Source organism: Homo sapiens, chromosome 3 (genome assembly GCF_000001405.40).
Source record: "Homo sapiens chromosome 3, GRCh38.p14 Primary Assembly".
Classification (NCBI taxonomy): Eukaryota; Metazoa; Chordata; class Mammalia; order Primates; family Hominidae; genus Homo; species Homo sapiens.
The window spans coordinates 138,701,530-138,725,405 of NC_000003.12; the positions used below are offsets into that span (position 1 = coordinate 138,701,530).

General features: G+C 36.9%; 1 protein-coding gene across 14 annotated transcripts in view; it reads right to left on the bottom strand.

The window, feature by feature from the left end:
- The window catches only part of PIK3CB (phosphatidylinositol-4,5-bisphosphate 3-kinase catalytic subunit beta), a 182,231-nt gene that overhangs the window by 48,832 nt on the left and 109,523 nt on the right, over nt 1-23,876 (bottom strand). For 9 of the 14 annotated variants that reach the window (NM_001437286.1, NM_006219.3, NM_001437293.1 and 6 more), the window contains 4 exons: nt 12,939-13,190; nt 10,679-10,775; nt 5,630-5,760; nt 2,914-2,964 (listed from right to left, as the gene is read on the bottom strand). In NM_001437286.1, coding sequence (NP_001424215.1) covers nt 2,914-2,964; nt 5,630-5,760; nt 10,679-10,775; nt 12,939-13,190 — 531 coding nt within the window. Of the gene's footprint in view, nt 1-2,913; nt 2,965-5,629; nt 6,093-10,678; nt 10,776-12,938; nt 13,191-23,876 lie in introns of those variants that run through there. The other 5 variants (NM_001437290.1, NM_001437289.1, NM_001437292.1 and 2 more) reach the window with 2 other exon arrangements.

A 23,876-nucleotide genomic window follows, 5' to 3' on the forward strand; every position in this document is an offset into this window, starting at 1 on the left:
TAATCCCAGCACTTTGGGAGGCCGAGACGGGCAGATCACGGGGTCAAGAGATCGAGACCATCCTGGCCAACATGGTGAAACCCCATCTCTACTAAAATACAAAAAATTAGCTGGGCATGGTGGCGCATGCCTGTAGTCCCAGCTACTTGGGAGGCTGAGGCAGGGGAATCGCTTGAACCCGGGGTGGCAGAGACTGCAGTGAGCTGAGATCATGCCACTGCACTCCAGCCTGACAACAGAGTGAGACTCTGTCTCAAAAAAAAAAAAAAAAAGAAAAAGAAAAATCTAATAGATACTAGTAATTAATGCTATGGAATGTTAGAAAGGTATTTTTTAAAAAGTAGACCTATTCATACTCACATGACAATATCCACAAAGTATATTAAATGAAAAAAGTAGAAACTATATATATATATAGTTTTATATATGTATATATAGATCTCATTTATTTTAAAGGGGGAGATATTTACATATAAAGTTAGGATTGATAGCTACAAATTAAACTGTTTACAATTAGCTCTGGAGAGGAAGGTAGGTGGGAGTCACAGAGAGAAACTTTCATTTTTGGTTTACAATTTTTTTTTTTTTTTTTAAAGATACAGGGTCTTACTCTGTCATAACAGCCTCAACTTCCCAGGCTCAAGCTATCCTCCCACCTCAGCCTCCCAAGTAGCTGGGACTACAGGTCCATGCCACCACGCCCAGTTAATACTTTTTTTTTTTTTTGTAGAGATGGGGTCTCTCTGTATGGCCCAGGCTGCTCTCAAATTCCTGGGTTCAAGCAATCCTCCTACCTTGGCCTCTCAAAGTGCTGCGATTATAGGGGTGAGCCATCACACCCATCCTTACCATTTATTAATTGTACTTTGTGCCTAATAAAAAACAAACAAATTGTAAAGGTATATCAGACCTGGGCAAGATTACTGCATGCTCAGTGTGTAGCAAACTCTCTGATTTAGGTCAGGTACAAGTTTATGGTGGAAATAGTAAAAACTAATTCATTTATCTGAGGTTCAAGGAGCAATATTGTCTTATAAAGGGTAATGAGACAGGCACTTGAACCAAGACCTGCCTGTGTAACTATATCTCCTAAGCTTAAACTGTAATTATCTGTTTCAGTAATTGCCTAATAAGCTGATAAATTAACACCTGTAAGAAATTTGTTTTGTATCATTAAAGGTAACTGCTCTTGCAGTTGTCTCTTTTTAAAGTTTTTCTTTTATTTTTTAAATTTATACACAAACACACATTTTTTTACACTAGTCTCTGAGATTGCTTCCACTTTTATTTTACTGTTTTACTTTTTCAATAAACTCTTACTTCTTAGAGATTCCAGGCCATTCTCAAGTCTACATCCTCAGCAAGAAAAAGCAGTCAAACACAAGGATCCTATCACACCAGCCTCATCAATTGATCATGCAAATTTTTTTCAGGCCATATATATAATTTAAGCTATTAAAATTTGCACAATGTTTACAAATTAAATTATTATCTGAAACTGTCTCCAGAAACCTGAATAACACAAAACTTTGGGAAAAAAGACAGAGAGAGGAAGAATTTGGCTATTATGGTCCCAAACTGGCCCAGAGCCTTTCGTAAACTGTAAAGACTAGGAGTCTGGCACTACTGCTCTCTTTCCTAAGGTCAAGCATTCAAATTCAAAAGACAAAATTTAAGCCAAAAACACTAATAAGAAAGCAGTAGCAGATGACTCACACTGAGAAACTAGGGAAAGATTCTGAGAGCTCTAATGGCAAAGGAGAAGACAGCCTAGGCCAGACATTTCACCAACTGGCCAAAATTAAATAGTGCTTTGATTCTGTGAGAATGGGAAAAACATACACATTGTCTCCAGTTTGCCTCCTAGTCTCTATAACACTGCCATGCTACAGGTAGAATGACTTTGCTAAATAGACTTAAAAGTTGTAAACTGATGACGAGAATACTGGATTACAGCTCAACAAAGTCAAACTAGAAAGAGCCAAAAAATTAAATAAAAAAGCACAGATGGTATACATATTTATATATATATATGTAGATATAGATATAGATATGTAGATATAGATATAGATATATAAATGTAGATATAGATATAGATATATAGATGTAGATATAGATATAAATATAGCAACCCAAGTCAACAAAGTAACCTATTTGTAGTATCTGCATAGAAACAAATGGGAATAGTATATGTGGCAGAGACTACTATTTGACCCTCAATATCCATTCTCCACTTCTTCCTTTAGTACTAGAATCTCTTACTCTTAGCCAAGCGCATGACTGATGGCGTGGCTAAAGACTGCACCTCTCAGATGCGTGTGTACTTAGGCATGGTCAGTAAGATCTGGCCAATGACATGTAAGCAGAAATGATACATACTAATGATATCCTGAATAAGAATGGGGTGTGACCACTACTATTGTTTTTCCTGTTCCTGCTGGCTGGAATATAGTAAAGTAGGAAGCTGAAGCAGTAATATTAAACCATGAAATAGAAAATACATGTTAAATATGGCAGAGCACTAAGATGGAAGAAATTTGGGTCACTTGCATGATGATGTGTGTGCCTATTACTAAATCTGCTTTGTTACCTGAGAGAAATACAGTCTCCTCATTAAACTAAATAATATTCACTATGACAGCATTGTTAATCTATGAGGTGCCACAGAATCCCTTATAGATTACCTGCTAAACCTGTACTTGTATCAGAAAAGGGCTTGCCCACTGAACCCAGATCACCCACAAATTGGGCTGCCATTTAACAAAACACTATCATGTGCATACTTACCCACACTCACAGACTGTTCTTGCATATGAGTTACGGTCTTCTGTGAGTTCATTACTATGAGGCAAAGATACCTAATAATGTGCACAACTCCATAAGAAAGGGCCATTTAAAACTCTTGATACTTACTGACACATTAGCACTATCACTGCTTGCAATCTCAGCTGCCTTTTCAATAATCTGTTTAAAAAAATTAAAGAAAATGAATTTTGGCTCTCATATTTGTAGAATTTTAAGTGTAAATGACTACATTTGTACTTAGACTACATAAGATCTGGCATTGCTATGCTTTGTAACAGAAACATGAATTTTAAAAGCAAAATGATGCTTCTCAAGTGCTTTAAACTCTTGACAACAGGGAAATGATGGTATTGCTATAAGGGATTATGACTCCTAGGAAGCACTAAAATTGTCTGGAGATAAAACAAGTACCAGCTAGCATATATATGTCAAAAATTTTCTTTTAAGTATAAGTAAATGTATTCTAGTTAAGAAGACACAAAAACATGTAAGAGTTACTAAATTGTAGAATAAACTTTTCTCATTATGTTTTTTCTTCAATTAACAGACACCAAAAGTAGAAGTAACGACAATATCTAACTTGTACAATTGAAGGAGATCAATAAGCATATACTTATTTACATACTTTTTGTTTGTTTTTGAGATGGGGTCTATGTTGCCCAAGCTCGCCTTGAACTCCTGGGCTCAGGCAATTATCCCACCTCAGCCTCAAGCAGATGGGACTAAAGGCTGCTGTCCCTGGCTTATATATATTCAAAGACTAAAATCTCTATCCCAAACTGATCTTCTTCAAGAAAGACTCTCCAAGAGATTAGAAAGGCAAAAAAAAAAAAAAAAAACAAAAAACAAAACAAACAAAAAAAAAAACTTATATTTGCAAATATAGGAGGCTATATTTGTAAAAGTACTTCAAAAAGCATTTCATTTGAGCCAAAAGAGCCTATAACTGTTGAACACACATCATAACTGAACATGATAATAGTCACAGCTAAAACTATTAAATATATCACGAGTAGCTATGGCTTATGGATAAATTTCTATCAAAGGAATAACTAAAGACACTACATAAACGTATTGGATGAGTCAAAATGTAGCTTTTTCTACTCAGTGTATACTAACGTATATGATTCTTGCCATATTTGAAATTTATATTATAAGCACAAAATTTAATTTGGTTGTAAATTATTGTTCAGAAAAACATGTTTAAAAAACTTGAAATAAAAAATTACTCCTTAGATGGATAAAATCCAATTATAATGAAAATGAAGAAAGAGTGAATTACATAAATTTAATTTGCTAATACTTTAAATGTACAGGTAGATTATCTTAAGTATTTATAAAGTATAATATCAATCTTCAAAGGTAGTTTGTACTCAAGCGGATTGAGGAAATTAAATAAACTTTCAGCTTATTTTCTGAACATTTTTTTTTCTCCAGAGACAGGGTCTCTCTCTGTTGCCCAGGCTGGAGCACAGTGGCATGACCATAGGTCACTGCAGTCTGAAATTCCTGGGCTAAAGTAGTCCTCCTACCTCAGTCTCCAGAGTAGCTAGGACTATAGGCACATGCCACCACACCCAGCTAACTTTTAAATTTTTGTACAGACAAGGGTCTCTCTATGTTGTCCAGGCTATCTTGAACTCCTAGCCTCAAGTTATCCTCCTGGTTCAGACTCCCAAGCTGATGGGATCACAGGCTTGAGCCATGGTGCCTGGCTCCTAAATTCTGAGAATTTGTTCAAAGATTTCCTTATAAAAATCAACACTACCAGGTGCAGTGGCTCTCACTTGTAATCCCAGTACCAGGGATGCTGAGGCAGGACAGTTGCTTGAGGCAAGTAATTTGAGGCTCAATAATTGTGCCACTGCACTCCAGCCTGGATGACAGAGAAATACTCCATTTTTTAAAATAAAAAACACCATGCCAAACCTAAAGATAAAATATATGACAGCTCAGCTCTCTTAGCATGTAAATTACCATAGCCCTATATTTAGCCCCCATTAGATAATCTCTTTATCCCCAAGACATGCAGTGTGTATATTAAAGAAATATATTTAGAAATGAAGTCCTTACTATAGATTCTATAAAATAACTACATTAGGAAGCGCCACTAACAGACATATTCAACAAAAATCAATTGTTCTTTGAGTATCAATTCTAATACAGCAGTGACTATACCTTTAATATTTGAAACAACATTTTATGTATTCAGTTACATATGAATATATTTATAGCCCTTTAAGGGCGTGAGATATTAAAAAATAGAACAATTATGATTTCTTCATTTTATAAATAAGAAAAGTGAACTCCAGAGATGCCTTTTCTCTCTCTCTTTTTTTTGAGACGGAGTTTTGCTTTTGTTGCCCAGGCTGGAGTGCAATGGCACGATCTTGGCTCACTGCAACCTCCGCCTCCCGGGTTCAAGCAATTCTCCTGCTCAGCCTCCCGAGTAGCTGGGATTACAGGCATGTGCCACCATGTCCAGCTAATTTTGTATTTTTAGTAGAGACAGGGCTTCTCCATGTTTGTCAGGCTGGTCTCGAACTCCCGACCTCAGGTGATCCACCCACCTCGGGCTCCCAAAGTGCTGGGATTACAGGCGTGAACCACTGCGCCCGGCCTGGAGGTACCTTTTCTTACTTAGTCAGTGATAAAACCAAAACTAACAGAGTTAAGAAGGCTCCCTGATCCATGGTCTTCCCACTCAACAAAGCTGTCACTGTATGGGAAGTTTTGAAAGAGACAGATAGAGCTTAAACTATACATAGAGGAACTGATCATTCAATCATTTCATGCATAGAGGTCCTTTAAATAATTAGCTTACCTTATCGAAGGGAGGGTAATAATAAGGTTGTTTTTTATTCTCTGGAAATTTAACATGCAAAGCTGTTGCATTTTCAGTATATGGATTTGTTTGAACAGTTCCCATTGGATTCAACATTTCTTCGAGTTCATCTAAAACATGCAAATAATTTTGGTTCTTAAAAAATGTCTTTAAAACTAGGCTTTAAAAAAGCTGTAATGGATCTCCTCCCATGAAAATCACCTTAGAAGTATGTCAACTACAGAAGTGTGACAGACAATTCTATCAGTAATCCTCTAATTTTCTGTTAATGCTTGGAACAAAATTTCAGTGTGAGTTTGCATACATGTTTTAAAAATGAGAAAGTTAACAAAACTGAATGACTACTTTACCTCTTAATTCAAATTTAGTTCTCAATCTTGAAAAGACTTTAATTGGAACTGCTCTCTCTCCATCAAAATTAGGTGGCCCATAGAAACTATAATCTCATCACTACATATGGACTTCTTAATCACATGTAATCTGGTTTTCATGGTTGTCACAATAACCAAATTGGTATTTTAAGTCATCAATGACATTCTTCTTATCAAATCTAACGATAATGCTCTTTATTATCCTGCAACTGCTGACAGAAAATACCTTCTCTGGTAGCCTCTGGAATACTCCATTAAGTGGCGCTCCTTTTACCTCACCAACTGCTTCTTTCTTCAAGGTACTCCTTCCTTTTCCTTTTCCACCACGCTAAATATGGTCAATTCACAGAACTGTGTGTGTGATTTTAGAATTTCAGTGTAGTTAGAAAACTCTGGAGTTCGCATCATATAATTTTTTTATTTCACAGATAAGAAACTCATGATGAGAAAATAGAGTTAGGTGTACAATCTAAGATCCTCTCTCTCCAAAGTAATTTTTCTTTTCTTATACTGACTGTAGTACAGTTGTTCTTTCTGTATCTCCTAAGGAAAAAAAATATCAGCTCTACTCTAATTAGGTCTAATGTCCATAAAGTATGCACACTCAGAATTATTTCCTAAAGCTGGAAAATCTTTACAAGTTTTCGTTCCTTAATTCTTCGTTCATCTTTTTAAATATTTTCTCACCTCACGGACTCAATTTTTTCTTTTTCTTTTTTTTTTTTTTTTTTTGAGACAGGGTTTCTGTCACCCAGGTTGGGGTGCAGTGGCATGATCTTGGCTCACTGCAACCTCCACCTCCCAGGCTCAAGTGATCCTCCCACCTTAGCCTCCTGAGTAGCTGGGACCACAGGCGCATGCCACCATGCCCAGCTAATTTTTTAATTTTTGGTAGAGACAGGGTTTCACCATGTTACCCAGGCTGGTCTTGAACTCCTGAGCTCAAGAGATCCACCCAACTCAGCCTCCAAAAGTGCTGGAATTACAGGTGTGAGCAATCACACCCAGCCCAAACTCAATTTTCACCTGGATGGAGGCAACTCTTTTTTTTTTTTTTTAATCTTCCTGTTTTTTTAGAGACGGGGTCTTGCCACATTGCCCAGGCTGGATACAAACTCCTAGCCCCAAACGATCCTCCTGCCTCAAGCACCTGAGTAACTGGGACTACAGGCACACACACACCACTGCACCTGGCTCAATTCTAATAATTTATACAACTCTAGAGCTGATTTCTCAGCAATTTACAGTTTCATACTTCTGCTCTCTAGTACTATTTTACTTTTGTCCTATCAAATGCAACCTAACTGAAATCAAATTTAGTATTTTAGTACTTATTAGCCCCATACATAGAGGTAATCCTTTAGCCTTGTTCAAAAGTGATCAGAAAAAAAGGCACTCTTTTTCTGTGTGTATAGGGAGACAGAGTCTCACTATGTTGTCCAGGCTGGTCTCAATCTCCTGGACTCAAGTGATCCTCCTGCCTCAGTCTCCCAAAGCATTGGGATTATACATGTGAACCACCATATGTGGCAAAAAAAAAAGGCATTCATATATACTACACATGGAGAGCAAAAATTGATACACGCTATTGAGGAACAATTTGTAATGATAAGAATTATAAATTTATCTATTCTTTGAATCAATAAACCCACCTCTAAGGAATTTATCTCAGATATACACTGTACATAAGCATGGTTATTCATTATAGCAGCACTGTTTGAACTATCAGAACACAATTCTGCTTAAAAAAAAAAATCTAACAGTCCAGGCATGGGGGGAAAAACAGTTCTCTACATAGATACGTAGAGAAGATATGGTGATATGTAGATATGTAGATATGGTGAATAAAGCAAGAAGCAGAACATTACACAGAATGTGTCATTTTGTGTAAGTATAGGGGGAAAAACAGGAATCGACATTTGTATTTCCTAGTCCACATAAAAAAATTATGGAAAGTTAGGAAAAAAAATAATAAACGTGATTGTATACCTTGTAATGATGACCTAGGGACTCTGGATGGTAGATTATTTGTAGTTTCTTTGCTTCTTGTTTGCCCCTACTGGGTTAAATGTAACAATTCTAGAGCTGACACATGCAGAACTAATGTGTTCATTTATTATTTTTTATCATACATTTTCTCAGAGAGGAAGTCAGGTTCATAGTATTATGCCAAGTTAACACCACCAAAAATTGTAATTTTTACTAAAAATACTAGTCAAGTTGGTTGGTGATTCTGGAGAACATGTGTGAGTCTAAATTAAGATTCTCAAGAAAGTACAGTATTTTGCTGCTATATTTTATTGTATTGTGAAAGTTTAGTTCCTCCTAAGAAATATGTCAAATAGGCTGGGAGCTGTGGCTCATGCCTATAATCCTAGCACTTTGGGAGGCTGAGGAGGTGAAAATCACTTGAGCCCAGGAGTTCGAGACCAGCTTGGGCAACATGGCGAAACCCTGTCTCTACAAAAAATACAAAAAAAAAAAAAAAAAAAGCCGGGTGTGGTGGCGTATGCCTATAGTACCAGCTACTTGGGGGGCTGAGGAGGGAGGCTGAGCCCAGGAGGGCAAGGCTACAGTGAGCTGTGTTCAAGTCACTACACTCCAGCCTGGGTGACAGGGTGAGGCCCTGAGTCAAACAAACAAACAAACAAAAAGAAATACGTCAAATATACACAGTTCTCCTACATTTGGGGAATAACATAATTAGTGAAAACTGTTAGAGGTACATGCTGGAGAGGATAGGAATAGAAGGACACACACACACACACTATTAGATTGCAAAGAGTTTATAGATATGTCAGTAAATGATTATCCAAAAGTAATTTTTCAGGTGACAACTGCTAGTACATGAACATTTTGAAATGTCACTTACAAAGCCATGAATTAAAAAATTCAAATTCAAATTAGTTTACAACTTCACTAGATATATCAACAAACTATAAAGACAGGAAAAAAGAAAAAGAAAACCACTATTATAATGCAAGATTTACACTAAAAATTCCAACATTTGGGAAAGCAGTATAGACCAATGGGAAGATTTGAATAGTCTTTCATTCAAATCCTAGGTTTGAAACAGCTATGTAAGACTAACTTATTTTCTCTGAGCTTCACTTATCTGTAAAAATGGAAATAAAACCATCTACCTCACTTGATGAGGGTATTTTGAGTAGTATTTGAGAAATAAAAGCGTGTGGAAGGTGCTCCATTTACCTCAAATTTCAGGCTAAAGCCAACTAAAGAAAAAGTGTTTTAGGCTGGGAGTGGTGGCTCACGCCTGTAATCCCAGCACTCTGGGAGGCTGAGGTGGGTGGATCACGAGGTCAGGAGATCGAGACGATCCTGGCTAACACTGTGAAACCCCGTCTCTATTAAAAATACAAAAAATTAGCCAGGTGTGGTGGTGGACACCTGTAGTCCCAGCTACTGGGGAGGCTGAGGCAGGAGAATGGCATGAACCCAGGAGGTGGAGCTTGAAGTGAGCGCATATCACACCACTGCACTCCAGCCGAGGTGACAGAGCGAGACTCCATCTCAAAAAAAAAAAAGTGTTTTTACTATTTCTCCCTAATTAGAGATGTTCCTTCTACTCATGAAGAAAGTTAGCACAATTAGGAGCAACAAAGGTTATTATAAAGAAGACACTGTTCCTTAGGAGAATTTCTCAAAAAAAAAAAGAAAAAAAAAACCTACAAAAAATGCTGAAAGCAACACACATTCATTAAAATAAGAAATATATTCAGAAATACGGCCAGGCGCGGTGGCTCACGCCTGTAATCCCAGCACTTTGGGATGGCCGAGGTGGGCGGATCACCTGAGGTCGGGAGTTCCAGACCAGCCTGACCAACATGGAGAAACCCTGTCTCTACTAAAAATACAAAATTAGCTGGACGTGGTGGCACATGCCTGTAATCCCAGCTAGCAGGGAGGCTGAGGCAGGAGAATCGCTTGAACCTGGGAGGCAGAGGTTGCAGTGAGCCAAGATCACACCATGGCACTCCAGCCTGGGCAACAAGAGCGAAACTCCGTCGCAAAAAAAAAAAAAAAAAAAAAAAGAAGTTTAGTCTATTTCATTCCTAAATATGGTATGGAGATGCATAAGATTTAAAGACAAAGCTACCCATCACAAAACTTAAAAGTTATGTCCCATAGCGAGACTAGACAATCTCTAATGAGCTAAATGAATAATTTGTTAATACTAGAGTTAACTTGTTACTAGCAAAATAATGGTACATTATTTGTTGGAAGTATGTTTAAAATACTAACTTGTTAAAATAACCGTTTAAAATACAGGTCAGTAACAGTGGCTCATGCCTGTAATCCTAGCACTTTGGGAGGATCACTTGAGGCCAGGAGTTTTGAGACCAGCCTTGGCAGTATAGCGAGACCTTGTCTCGACAAAATAAAAAAAAATAATAAATAATAAAATAAAATATAGGCCGATTTTAAACCAAAACAAAATTTGTAAAGAAATCTACTCAGAAACAAGTAATTTTATGATAATATTAAAATAATTTGTGTAAATCTATTTTAGAATAAATAATACAAAATGATAATTTTATTTATTAAATTGAAAGAACGGTGATTCATAAATATTACCTAGTCCACATGCCAAAAGTTAGTTATGCTTTAACACTAAGGATAAGAATGTAAATCTTACCAGGAAATGAAGACCAGCTGTGTAATATTATGTCTCCAGTTCTCAATTGTCCTTTAAAGTCAAAAACCATCGTATTTACCCACGCTACAGGATAATGCTGTTGAAAAAGATACCATTGCATAAATATGCTAAGAATAACTTTAAGGTGTAAACATGCACATGTCCTTTGTTTCAATAATGTTAGTTCTAGAAAGTTCTGGATGATTTCCAAAATAATCTTCTAAAATGAGAACAAGATATACATAGAAAAATGCTCACTATCTTTATTACGTTTAAGAAGAACCTTAAAACTCAATTAACATTTCATAATAAATAGTATATGAATAAAATAGAATATGGACTAAAAAGCCTTGTGAAAATGATTTTTTTTTTTTTTTTTGAGATGGAGTCCCACTCTGTCACCCAGGCTGGAGTGGTGGTGTGATCTCGGCTCACTGCAACCTCCACCTCCCAGGTTCAAGAGACTCTCCTGCCTCAGCCTCCTGAGTAGCTGGAATTACAGGCACCCGCCACCACACCCAGCTAATTTTTGTCCTTTTAGTGGAGACGGGGTTTTGCCGTGTAGGACAGGCTGGTCTCAAACTCCTGACCTCAGGTGATCCACCTACCTAAGCCTCTTAAAGTGTTGGAATTACAGGTGTGAGCCATCACGCCCAGCCAAAATGAGAAATCTTTAATAATCCAAGAAAACACGTATAATATCAGAATACTTGTTTTAAGAGCTTTCAACCTACATAAATCTCAATATGGAAGGAGATAATGTCTCTAGGCATATAAATATATCTCTAAAAAGGAGGCATTGAGCTGATAGGACTTTTATACAAACATTTAAATAGATTAATTTCACCATAGTGTATCAAAAATCTTATAATCAAACACTTTGAGGATAATTCTATATTAAGGAAGAAAAAAATACTAAGGAACTAATGCTTCTGTGACTTTTTAGTCATTAAAAGTTATTTTACTTTTAGGGTATTTTTTTTTTTTTGGAGACAGGATCTCACCATGTTGCCAAGATTGGTCTCCAACTCCTGTCCTCAAGCAATTCTCCCACCTCAGCCTCCCAAAGTGTTGGGATTACAGGCGTGGGCCACTGCGCCTAGCCTAAAAATTATTTTTAGAAGACTATATGATGATAACCAGAGGAGATGCTTATATTCCCATGTTAAGAATAAAAGAACACGGCCAGGCACGGTGGCCACGCCTGTAATCCCAGCACTTTGGGAGGCCGAGGCGGGTGAATCACAAGGTCAGGGGTTCAAGACCAGCCTGGCCAACATGGTGAAATCCTGTTTCTACTAAAAATACAAAAAATTAGCTGAGTGTGGTAACGGGTGCCTGTAACCCCATTTACTCAGGAGGCTGAGGCAGGAGAATCGCTTGATCCCGGGAGGCGGAAGTTGCAGTGAGCCGAGATCGTGCCATTGCACTCCATCCCAGGTGACAGTGTGAGACTCTGTCTCAAAAGAAAAAAAGAATAAAATAACACAAATTAATATATAGATAAATATAGTAACTAGATTTTAAAAACATATAAAATTAATGTCCCTATCCCCACCAAAAAGCTTTCAAAAAGCAAGAAGAAAGTGAAACATTTGACTGAAAACATAACATGGAAGATGAAAGTATGACAACAGGTCCATCCTCTTATATTCATAATTTCAAAATCCGAGAAGCTCTAAAAACTGAAGGTTTGTTCATAGCTCATGTGACAGCAAAAAGTGGCCAGAGATAACAAAAAGCTAATGATAGTCACATTTAGTGTGAATACTGATATATTTCACTCCAAATATTAACATGTTTGATGACACATTTATGCCCCAGACCCCACAAGATATGTTGAGTCAGTTACGACCAATGATCTTTCTAAAATACACAAAATTCTGAATTCTTAAACATATCTGTCACATGAAATTTCAGTTGAAAGACTGCAGAACTGTAAATTTTTCAAACATCATCATTCTTCATATCTTCTTAAAAGTATTACATATATAATAAAACACTTATAAAATAAACCTGCCAAAAGAAAATCCATGGTAGAAGGAGCAAGATTACAAAAAAAATGCATGAACATAAACATAAATAAATGCATGAACATAAATCTAAAGATATAAACATGGAAATTTCTTATCTTCTTAAAATCAGTTTTTAAGGATCAAAGTTACCTAATATAATTTAACTTATATTACTCAATTATTTCAAACAGTCTTAAAATTATTCCGTTATATAAAACAATCCTCAGAAGTTGGTATATCATTACCACTTTTCCAGCTTTCCTGATGGTCTGATATTTAGAGGGATTAATAGTTTTCGTTGATTTCTTCGTTTTTACTTTATCCAAAACTGCATAAACAGCAAAACATAATCGAGCCATTCTTGGTAAGTCACAAATATTAATATCAAATTCCAGTGGTTCATTCCAAATATGATCATTTTTCCCTGATACCTCTGAGCTTACGATGGTTTTACACAGGAGCTCAGTACCATGAAAAAGACCAGCCCTGACATGAACCTGTAACGAAGCAGACAAAAACAAAAACAAAGTCATGAATACTGTACCACGAAAAACATCTCTTTTTGTTTGTTTGTTTGTTTCTACACTAAAAACATCTTTATTTTGGAGAAGGAAGGAACATACTGGAAGAAGAAACATGCCAAGTTTTAGAAAGCCTACTTGTCTGCAGAACCACTAGAGTGTAATTAACCAGTATATCGTTCAGTAAACCGTAGTTAGTCTAATCTGTTTTTCACTTGCTAAGTAAACCAGCTATAAAATCACATATTGGTCCAAATGCCAGGGTGCTCAATGGTTTAAACAGGTCTAAAGAAACCGTGACAGTAAGTATAAGCATACTATCATATGCTTACTCACTGACTTCATTTACTTGAGGTCTTGTCTTACCCTTCTCTATGTGTAGGAAAGAATGAATGGATGAGATGGCTCCAAAGTTTCTTTCTACTTCTAAATAATTTATGAATTTGTCATACTAAGTCAAGAGCTAACAAAAGATATTCCATCCATATCTTGATTATCCTATATATCACGGTCCTTTGTTTTTCCCTAAAGGCCTGGGGCCAGAGTGATGCAGGGCATGCGTAAGATGTCCCAGACAATTTTACTCATTTGCAGTTTTTTAAAATATATGACCTAATTATCACCAATTTAAAACTCAGGGAGAAAGTAGAGCTAAAAACAGTAGTAAAACACAGAGATTGACCCAGTGATACACTTTTAAGGTCAAAGTTTTTATACCAGTTTATTCAGATGTGATACTAGCACACAATATTACTCAACAAATATTTACTAAACAAATGAATACATATGTGGAATTGTTTAGGCTTATCTTTCATTTTTCAAAAGCTTATCAGCAAAAGCTTTTCTAGCTAGTTAAGAGTTACCACGCCAATATTTGAAAAGGAAGATAAATACCCAAGAATATACACATACTTCATCTATAGATATTAAAATATATTCAAACAGTAATATAAAATTTTAAATACTGATGTAATCAGCAATTTTAATTATAAATATTTATAATATAATTATGAGTTTAAAACCTACTAAAATAGTTAAAACTATGTTATGCTGGCATAAATAAAACTGTAGGTTAGTAGGCCAGACATATCATAATATAGTAAAAAAAAGATGACTGACTTAATAAATAATATTCTTTTATCTAATTCCAGCTAAATGAACACAGATGGATTAGAGAATTAAATATTTTTAAATGATTAAAAGCTAAAGAAATATTATTAAAAAGCTATCAGAATAACTTTTGAATCTGGATGATGGGTTCATGGAGGTTCATTATACTATTCTACTTTTGTGTATATTTGAAACTTTTCTTTTGAAAAAAAATTAAGCTAAAAGAAAAAAATTGGTTATTCTAAACACAGATGGATTATTATAACATGATAAATATTCAAGTAACAGGTGTTACAAAGGATACTAAAAGTAGTTGCAGTAAATCCTCAGGTCACTAGGAATTTATATCTGAACACATGACCTAATTCCCTTCAACTCCAGAAAAAGGCGTAATCCTTCAAGTCCCCTGGTCCCATATTGCTCCAGCTCCCCAAGTACTGAGATGTTACTCCTTTGCTCCTCTGCATTGGAAAAATCTTCCTCCAGCAGGCTATAAACCTGTGCAAGTCTCTCTCAGATCAAACTCAAACAAAAATCTACCTTAGAAGCTGACTAACCATAATCACACATGTTCTTTCTACCACAGTGACAATGGTACCAGCAGCTACTCAGTCACCTCTGTCTCCTACTTTCAATTCATCATGAAGTCTATGCTGTATACAAAGAAAAAGTTGATTTATGATGTAACCTTAAATGAAAAACAGTATAACGCAACATACCATCAAAATACTATACTATAGCAAAATATTATCAAAAGCACAGCCAGGTGCAGTGTCTCACGCCTGTAATCCCAGCATTTTGGGAGGCTGAGGTGGGTGGATCACTTGAGGTCAAGAGTTCAAGACCAGCCTGGCCAACATGGTGGAACACCATCTCTACTAAAAATACAAAAATTAGCTGGGTGTGGTGGAGAGCACCTGTAATCCCAGCTACTCAGGAGGCTGAGGCAGAAGAATCACTTGAACCCAGGAGGCGGGTTGCAGTGAGCCAAGACTGAACCACTACACTCCAGCCTGGGTGACAGAGAAAGATTGTGTCTCAAAAAAAAAAAAAAAAAAAAAAAAAAAAAGCATGTTCACCTTGTAAACTGTGTGAAGAATACAAATAAAAGTAGTTTACAGGCTGGGCACGGTGGCTCATGCCTGTAATCCCAGCACTTTGGGAGGCCGAGGCAGGCGGATCATGAGGTCAAGAGATCAAGACCATCCTGGCCAACATGGTAAAACTCGGTCTCTACTAAAAATACAAAAATTAGCTGGGCACGGTGGCACACGCCTGCAGTCCCAGCTACTCAGGAGGCTGAGACAGGAGAATTGCTTGAACCCAGGAGGCAGAGGTTGCAGTGAGCCAAGATTGTGCCACTGCACTCCAGTCTGGGCAACAGAGTGAGACGCTGTCTCAAAAAAAAAAAAAAAAAAGAAGTAGTTTATAGTGGATAGCTGGAATATTGGTGATTGTTGTCTCCTCTGATTAAAGGGGGACAAATATTAAAATCAATGATCTTTGATTTTATTTTATATAATGTTACCTTTAAATATTTTTAAATAGCCCAGAAAGTATTATAAAATGGCTGAATGTCCAAATGTAAGACCCTATATACAGACATAACAGCAAAATGACCACAGTCAATCCAAAACTCATTAAATGAAACCATGAATGAAAATAGAAATTTTTTGTGGTTTTTTTTTAAACTTTCATTTTAGGTTTGGGGGTACATGTGAAGGTTCGTTACATAGGTAAGCTGTTGTCACAGGGGTTTGTTGTATAGATTATTTCATCATCTAGGCATTAAGCCTAGTACCCAACAGTTACCTTTTCTGCTCTTCTCCCTCCTCCCCGCTTCACCCTCAAGTAGGCTCCAGTGTCTGTTGCTTCCTTCTTTGTGTTCATAAGTTCTTATCATTTAGCTTCCTTATAAGTGAGAACATGCGGCATTTGGTTTTCTATTTCTGCATAAGTTTGCTAAGGATAATAGCCTCCAGCTCCACCCATGTTCCCTAAAGACATGATCTCATTCTTTTTTATGGCTGCACAGTACTCCATGGTGATCATGTACCACATTTTCTTTATCCAATCTGTCACTGATGGGCATTTAGGTTAATTCCACATCTTTGCAATTGTGAATAGTGCTGCAATGAACATTCGCATGCATGTGTCTTTATGCTAGAATGATTTCTATTCCTCTGGGTATATACCCAGTAATAGGATTGATGGGTCAAATGGTAGTTCTGCTTTTAGTTTTTTAAGGAATCGCCATACTGCTTTTTACAATGGTTGAACTAATTTACACTCCCACCAGCAGTGTGTATGTGTTCTCCACAACCTCACCAGCATCTCTTATTTTTTGACTTTTTAACAATAGCCATTGCGACTGGTGTGAGATGGTATCTCATTGTGGTTTTGATTTGCATTTCTCTAATGATCAGTGACATTAAGCTTTTTTGCATATGCTTGTTGGCCGCATGTATGTCTTCTTTTGAAAAGTGTCTGTTCATGTCATTTGCCCACTTTTAATGTTTTTTTTCTTATAAATTTGTTTAAATTCCTTATAGATACTGGCTAATAGATCTTTGTCTGATGCATAGTTTGCAAATATTTTCTCCCATTCTGTAGGCTGTTTACTCTGTTGATAGGTTCTTTGGCTCTGCAGAAGCTCTTACGTTTAGTTAAATCCCACTTGTCAATTTTTGCTTTTGTTGTGATCGCTTTTGGTGTCTTTGTCATAAAATTTTTGCCCATTCCTAAGTGCAGGATGGTATTGCCTAGGTTGTCTTCCAGGGTTTTTATAGTTTGAGGTTTTACATGTAAAGTAAATATAAGTGTACATTTACATTAAGTCTTTAATCCACCTTGAGTTGACTTTTGTTTATGGTGTAAGGAAGGAGTCCAGCTTCAATCATCTACATACGGCTTGCCAGTTATCCCAGCACCATTTATTGAATAGGGAGTCTTTTCCCCACTGCTTGTTTTTGTCAACTTTGCTGAAGATCAGATGGTCGTAGGTGTGCAGCCTTATTTCTGGGCTCTTTATTCTGTTCCATTGGTCTATATGCCTATTTTTGTATTAGATATGATTTTTTAAAACAACCATTTGGGTTTTTCTCCCTCTCTTTAAGCAGGCAGTTTCAGGATTAAGTAGTCACACCCTTAAGCAATCTTTCTTTAAGTCCATGTCTCTGAACTACTTTAAATGGTATTTCCCTGTGTTCCCAGAAATTAGTCAAAAAGCCTGGGCACTTTCATTTTTAGTTTCTAAAGACTATGAACTAAAGAAAATTATGAAGAAAGATTTACACAACAGCACTTTTAGAAAATCTTTATATCTACCTTATATGCTATAAACAAAGTATCTAACTTATCAGAAACTTACATTAGCTCAGTATTTTTTTTTTTTTTTTTTTTTTTTTTTTGAGATGAGGTCTCACTCTGTCACCCAGGCTGCAGTGCAGTGGCATGATCTCAACTAACTGCAACATCCATCTCCCGGGTTCAAGTGATCCTCCCACTTCAGCCTCCCAAGTAGCTGGGATTACAGGTGCGCACCACCATGCCTGGCTAATTTTTGTATTTTTAGTAAAGACAGGGTTTCGCCAAGTTGTCCAGGCTGGTCTCAAACTCCTGAGCTCAAGTGATCTGCCCACCTTGGCTCCCAAAGGTATGAGCCTTTAACACCGGTCTAGCGTGGTATTTTAAACAGCTAAAATAGAACACTAGAAAGAATAGGAATAAGTGAAGGCATATTAAGACACATTTCACTTCTCATATTCCCAATTACTTTGTTTCTCTAAATAAAAGTTTAGTTGCCTGTAAGAACCATACAACAATTATTTTCTCCTGAGCAATTAAGAAACAGCCCCATCATCAATGTCTGTATCAGCTCTGTATCATCTCCAGAGAAGTCTTTCAAGGCTGAAGAAATAATCAATTTCATAGCTTTAAACACATTACCAAAAATTCTGTATGATATTATATACTCAACATTTAACCTAAATTCCATTCATTTAAACTAAATTCATATAAACTCCCAATCTGCTCTGCAAACACTGACAAAAAAAAAGGGGGGTAGGGGAAGAAATGTGTATGTACAGTGTGAAAATAGAAAATGAGACCTGAAGAAATAGCTAGGCTAGAAAAAAAAAGCTTGGGAATCAAGCAAAGTGGTGTACTTTTTCAAGTTTCTGACAAGAAAGATACCAGTAATTGCTTTCCAAGATGTGAAGACGACTAAGTGAGAAGAAAATCACTAACAGGTATTGATGCAGGGTCCGCATGCCTGAGGCAAACAACCCATCTGACTCCTGAGTTCCTTGACCTAAATATCTCCAACTAGGTACTTCTCTCCTTCCCTTCAGCCACACAATCTCACGATGCCACCCTGAATTTGACTTCACCACACCCTAGCACCTCCAAATCACTAATTATTACATCTCAGTTTCCAACCACTTCCCACCCTGATTCCAACTTACTGTTAATACATTCCCAAAGGAAAACTTTGTAGCCATCACTAAGACCTCTATTTCAACAACCAACACCTCTTTCTCCCCACTTCTCTAATAGTTTTGTCTGCCTTCACTCTCACCAAAATTATCTGCAAGTGCCTCTCTCCCATCACACTCGTCTGGAAGTCTGTATCTTGGATAAACCTAATCACCTGCCTCCTCTCCATCCCAAATGTTTTCAGGCAGACCAGCACCATGACTGACTGTTTTCAAATGTAAAATTACTATTTCAGGCTGGGTGAGGTGGCTTACACCTGTAATCCCAGCACTTTGGGAAGCCAAGGCAGGCAGATCCCTTGAGCGCAGGAGTTCAAGACCAGCCTGGGCAACATGGCAAAAGCCCATCTCTACAAAAAAATACAAAAATTAGTCAGGTGTGGTGGCGTGCACCTGTAGTCACAGCTACTCAGGAGGCTGACGTGGGAGGATCGCCTGAGCCCTAGAGGCATAGGTTGCAGTGAGCAGAGATTGTGCCACTGCATGCCAGCCTGGGTGACAGAGCAAGACCCTGCCTCATTCAGAAAGAAAAAAGAAAAGAAAGGAAAGAAAGAAAATAAAGAAAAAACTATTTTGTTACTGTAAGATTTCTTACCTTTTACTGCTCAAAATTTCTATTACCATTTACTCTCCAGAGAGATAATAAGCCTGCAAACTACAAAAAAACTTCAAAGCCCTGTTTAAGCTACTTTTTGGGAAAATGAAAGTGATTTCATAGTCAACTAACACTCCACATATCTTCATGAAAGGTGAGTGGGGGAGAGGGCAGTGCCATCTATTCACACATGATTTCTGCTTAGAAACTTCATATCCTTAAGTTTTTTTTTTTTGAGACAGAGTTTTGCTCTCATTGCCCACGCTGGAGTGCAATGGCATGATCTCGGCTCACTGCAACATCCGCCTTCTGGGTTCAAGCAATTCTCCTGCCTCAGCCTCCCGAGTAGCTGGGATTATAAGCACCTGCCACCACACCTGGCTAATTTTTTTGTATTTTTATTAGAGATGAGGTTTCACCATGTTGGTCATGCCGGTCTCTAACTCCTGACCTCAGGTGTTCCACTTGTCTGGGCCTCCCAAACTGCTGGGATTACAGGCATGAGCCACTGGGCATGGCCAAGATGATTTAATGTTACTCTAGGCTCAGTTGATGATCCATGTGTGCATATATATGTATATACACTTTGATCTTATTTGACTTTAAATGAACACAACAAAGTCTCCACTGCCTAATCTTTCCCAAATCCAGTTTTGAATAAAAATATGCATACAGAATTTCCTGAAAAACACACAACATTTATTTAGGAAGTCCAAATATTATTCAATTAAAGATAAACCATCAAATGGGTGAATACAGTACTAAGACTGAATTAATTTGGTCTCTTCTAGAATGACTTTTTCCAGATTATACTGTCAATATTGTATTTTATGTCTACCTAGTGAAAGACATTATAAGAGAGATGAGAAGCATTATTTTGCCTACTATAATATGATGTTGTCAGAGGTGTTGGTGCTCACTACATTACTCACTGTGTCTCATTCATAAGGATTCCCTAAGCATATCTCTCTCAATTTACAGTATTGAAATATGCTACAAACTCATAAATAACTAGTTTGTTTTACCTTATGAGATTCTGAATATTATAACTGATCATGTTTTCTCTTTGCCTTGTCCACTAGGTGTAGGGCAAGCAGACAGTCAAATATGTAGCCCACATCAAAAAATTAATCACACAGGATCTAATATTATACACATACCTACTAGGAATCTTGCTACTGGGTGTTTTTTTTTTTTTTTTCTTATTTCCTGTCAATTAACTATCCTCTATTTTTTTTAAAGTCAAAACTGTCTGTATTGTATGTGCTATGTAAGAGACACACACACACACACACACACACACACACACACACGTGTGTAGGCTCACCTCAAATAATCTGTAAAATGAGATTTGGTAAATCATAAATAAAACAAAACATACATAAAATATATTTTGCATCTGTTGTATGGGAGGTTATAAGATAGGAATATCAGGATAAAAGTGGTATTCAATTCTTACTCTCGATAATCTTACCTGAATTTGTCACCTTTTTAATATGGCATTTAAATATAGTTTATGCAGAAAATTATGAATTTTACAAATGATTATTTTTCAGTGTTCTGGTGATAAAGACATTGAGAAATAAAGACAAATAAGTTCCCACCATATAATAAAGGCTCAATAAATGTTCGCTAGTATTTAAAAACAAAACAAAACAGAATGCTAGTTATAACTGCATCCAAAAACTTCTGGCAAAACTCAGGTATAGGAAATGAAGTAGAATTAGGGATGAGCTGCTATAAAAGCTCAAAAAAAAAAAACCCAAAAAACCCTGAATTATAATGGGCTAAAAAAAAGTCCCGTACCATCTGTGTGAACAGCCACAACAAAAAATGTGATCTTGAAAAGAATAACAATAAAGAATTAATCTAACTTGAGCATGGTGACAATTTAAAAAAAACAAGACCCTGAACATTCTGAAAAAATTTGTTGAAAATAAGTATCATTATTTAACAGTCAAAGTATGATTTATTTCAGGCCAAGTCATTAAGATTAGTTCTGCTTGAGAAATCTCTGTGTAATTTACCATAATTATTAAAGTTGACAAATCGTTAAAAAGAAACAAGAGTAGGAAAAAAGACCCAACTTTATAATGATGCTAAAAATTTTGTTCTCTGAATTTAGAATCTCCCAATAAAAAGAAAAGAAGCATAAAAAAAGAAGTTTTTGTTTTCAGAAAAAGCAGTAACAAAATCCATCCTCTAAATTTGTATCACATGAAATTTTATAAAAATTGTCCCATTTCCTGAAGTTTGATCTGGGTTATCTTCAATCTTGAGAAGTAAAGCATTTTAAAGTATAATTTATTTAAAGTATGATTTAAAACCTGGCACAGTGGCTCACGCCTGTAATCGCAACACTTTGGGAGGTCGAGGTGGGCAGATCGCTTGAGCTCAGGAGTTCGAGACCAGCCTGGGCAACATGGCGAACTCTCCTCTCTACTCAAAATACAAAAAATAGCCGGGCGTGGTGGTGTGGGCCTATGATCCCAGCTACTCAGGAGGCTGAGGTGGAAGGATCCCTTGAGCCTTGGGGCCAGAGCCTGTGGTGAGCCAAGACGTGTCACTGCACTCCAGCCTGGGTGACAGAGCGAGACCCCGTCTCAAAAATAAAAATAATAATCATGCTTTATACGGTTACATGTTTTATTATCCAACTTTAATAAATTTTCATGGAAACACTTCTTCACAAGCCCCAGAACATTAGGAGAGCAAAAGAAGTCAGGCTTTGACATGCAAAGGACTTGCCACTGTGCTATAGCAGGGAGGTGCCAAGCCAACACACAGACTGCATTCCTATACTCACCAATTAAAAATGTTCTGTGTTGAATAAGATATGAATTTTTTTCACATCAACATTTTAATTTCCTTCTTGTTCCACAATATGGCCAAAATCCACTACATTTTTGCCCTTAGATATTAGACACAAAAAAAGATCAGTAGCATGAATAGGTGGAAATTCCCATGTTTTGGGAATTTCCCAGCCTTGATCATTTGTAAAAAGTGAAAAACTGTCTCTTCTACCTTCATCACTTCAGACACCAAATGTGAGGGTTTTCCTACACCAACCAATTCTCCAACTCTCTGGACACCAATTGGGTATCCTACAATTCAATTTTGATGCTACCTGGACTTAGGGCAGATGCTACCAGGTTATGGCATTAGTTCCATAAGACTGACTTCCAATTCAGGTGACAATTGCAAATCTCAGGTTATTATTTGTACTTGTGATCAATCAAGGGTTCCCACAAATGCCCTCCTCAGGTTCAATTTGCTCTAACGGCTCACAAAACTCAGGGAAACACATTTACCCATTTATTATAAAGGATATTACAAAGGATAGAAATGAATAGCCAAATGAAAAGGTATATATATGTTCTTCAAGGTCCAGAAGGGTTCCAAGTGCAGAAGCTTGTCCCCATAGAATTTGGCTGCACTATCCTCTCAGCATGTGGATATATTCACTAACCCAGAAGTCCTGCAAATCCCATTATTTAGGGTTTTTATGGAGGAGGCTCCATTAAGTAGGTATGGTTATTAAGTCATTGGCCACTGTTAAGTCGGTCTCTGTCCTCCCTCCCCACTCCAGAAGTCCCGGTGTGGAGCTGAAAGTTCCAATCCTCTATTCACGTGGTTGGTTTCTCTGGCAACCGGCTCCATCCTGGAGCTATCTAGGGACTGTAAGTCTCCATTCATCTTGTCAGCATACAAAAAGACACTTCTATCATTACCCAGATTCCATGGGTCTTGAAAGCTCTTTTGTCAGGACACTGAGACTAGATCAAACCATTAGAATAATAGATGCTCCTATCACTCAGGAAATGACAAGGGACTTAAGGAGCTCTGTGCCAAAAGCCACGGCGGAGACCAAATGTATATTCTTTATTATGTCACAATTTGTAAAAAGGTAGCTTTGTTCTGACTTATGAGAAGAATACTACATGACCTTCAACTAAGGATAAAATGTTAGAGACAGTTACGTTAAAATGTATTCATTCATTGCACAAATATTTATTCAGTGTTCCAGGCACTGAAAGAAGATAAAAAGAGGAAAATACGGGGAAGGTGTGGGGGTAGGGGGTGTGGGTGTGAGGTTTGAAAATTTACCTGTTGGGCAGTGTTCAGTATTTGGGTGATAAATACACTAAAAGCCCAGACTTCACTTCTATGCAATATATGCCCAGACTTCACTTCTATGCAATATATGCATGTAAGAAATATGCATTTATACTCCCTAAATATATATATTTTTAATGTTTAAGATTAAAGATACAAGTTCCTTGGGTTATATACTTTAATAGATAAGGAGTCCTGAGACCTATATAACTAGGCTATGGGGAATTATGATGTATGACTAATACGTGTGATACAGGATATGTCTGCACTTGTATTTCTCTTGGGATTCTTGAATTTGTGTTTCTGTCTTTTGCTGACTTTGCCGATAATCTAGTTTCCTGTGAT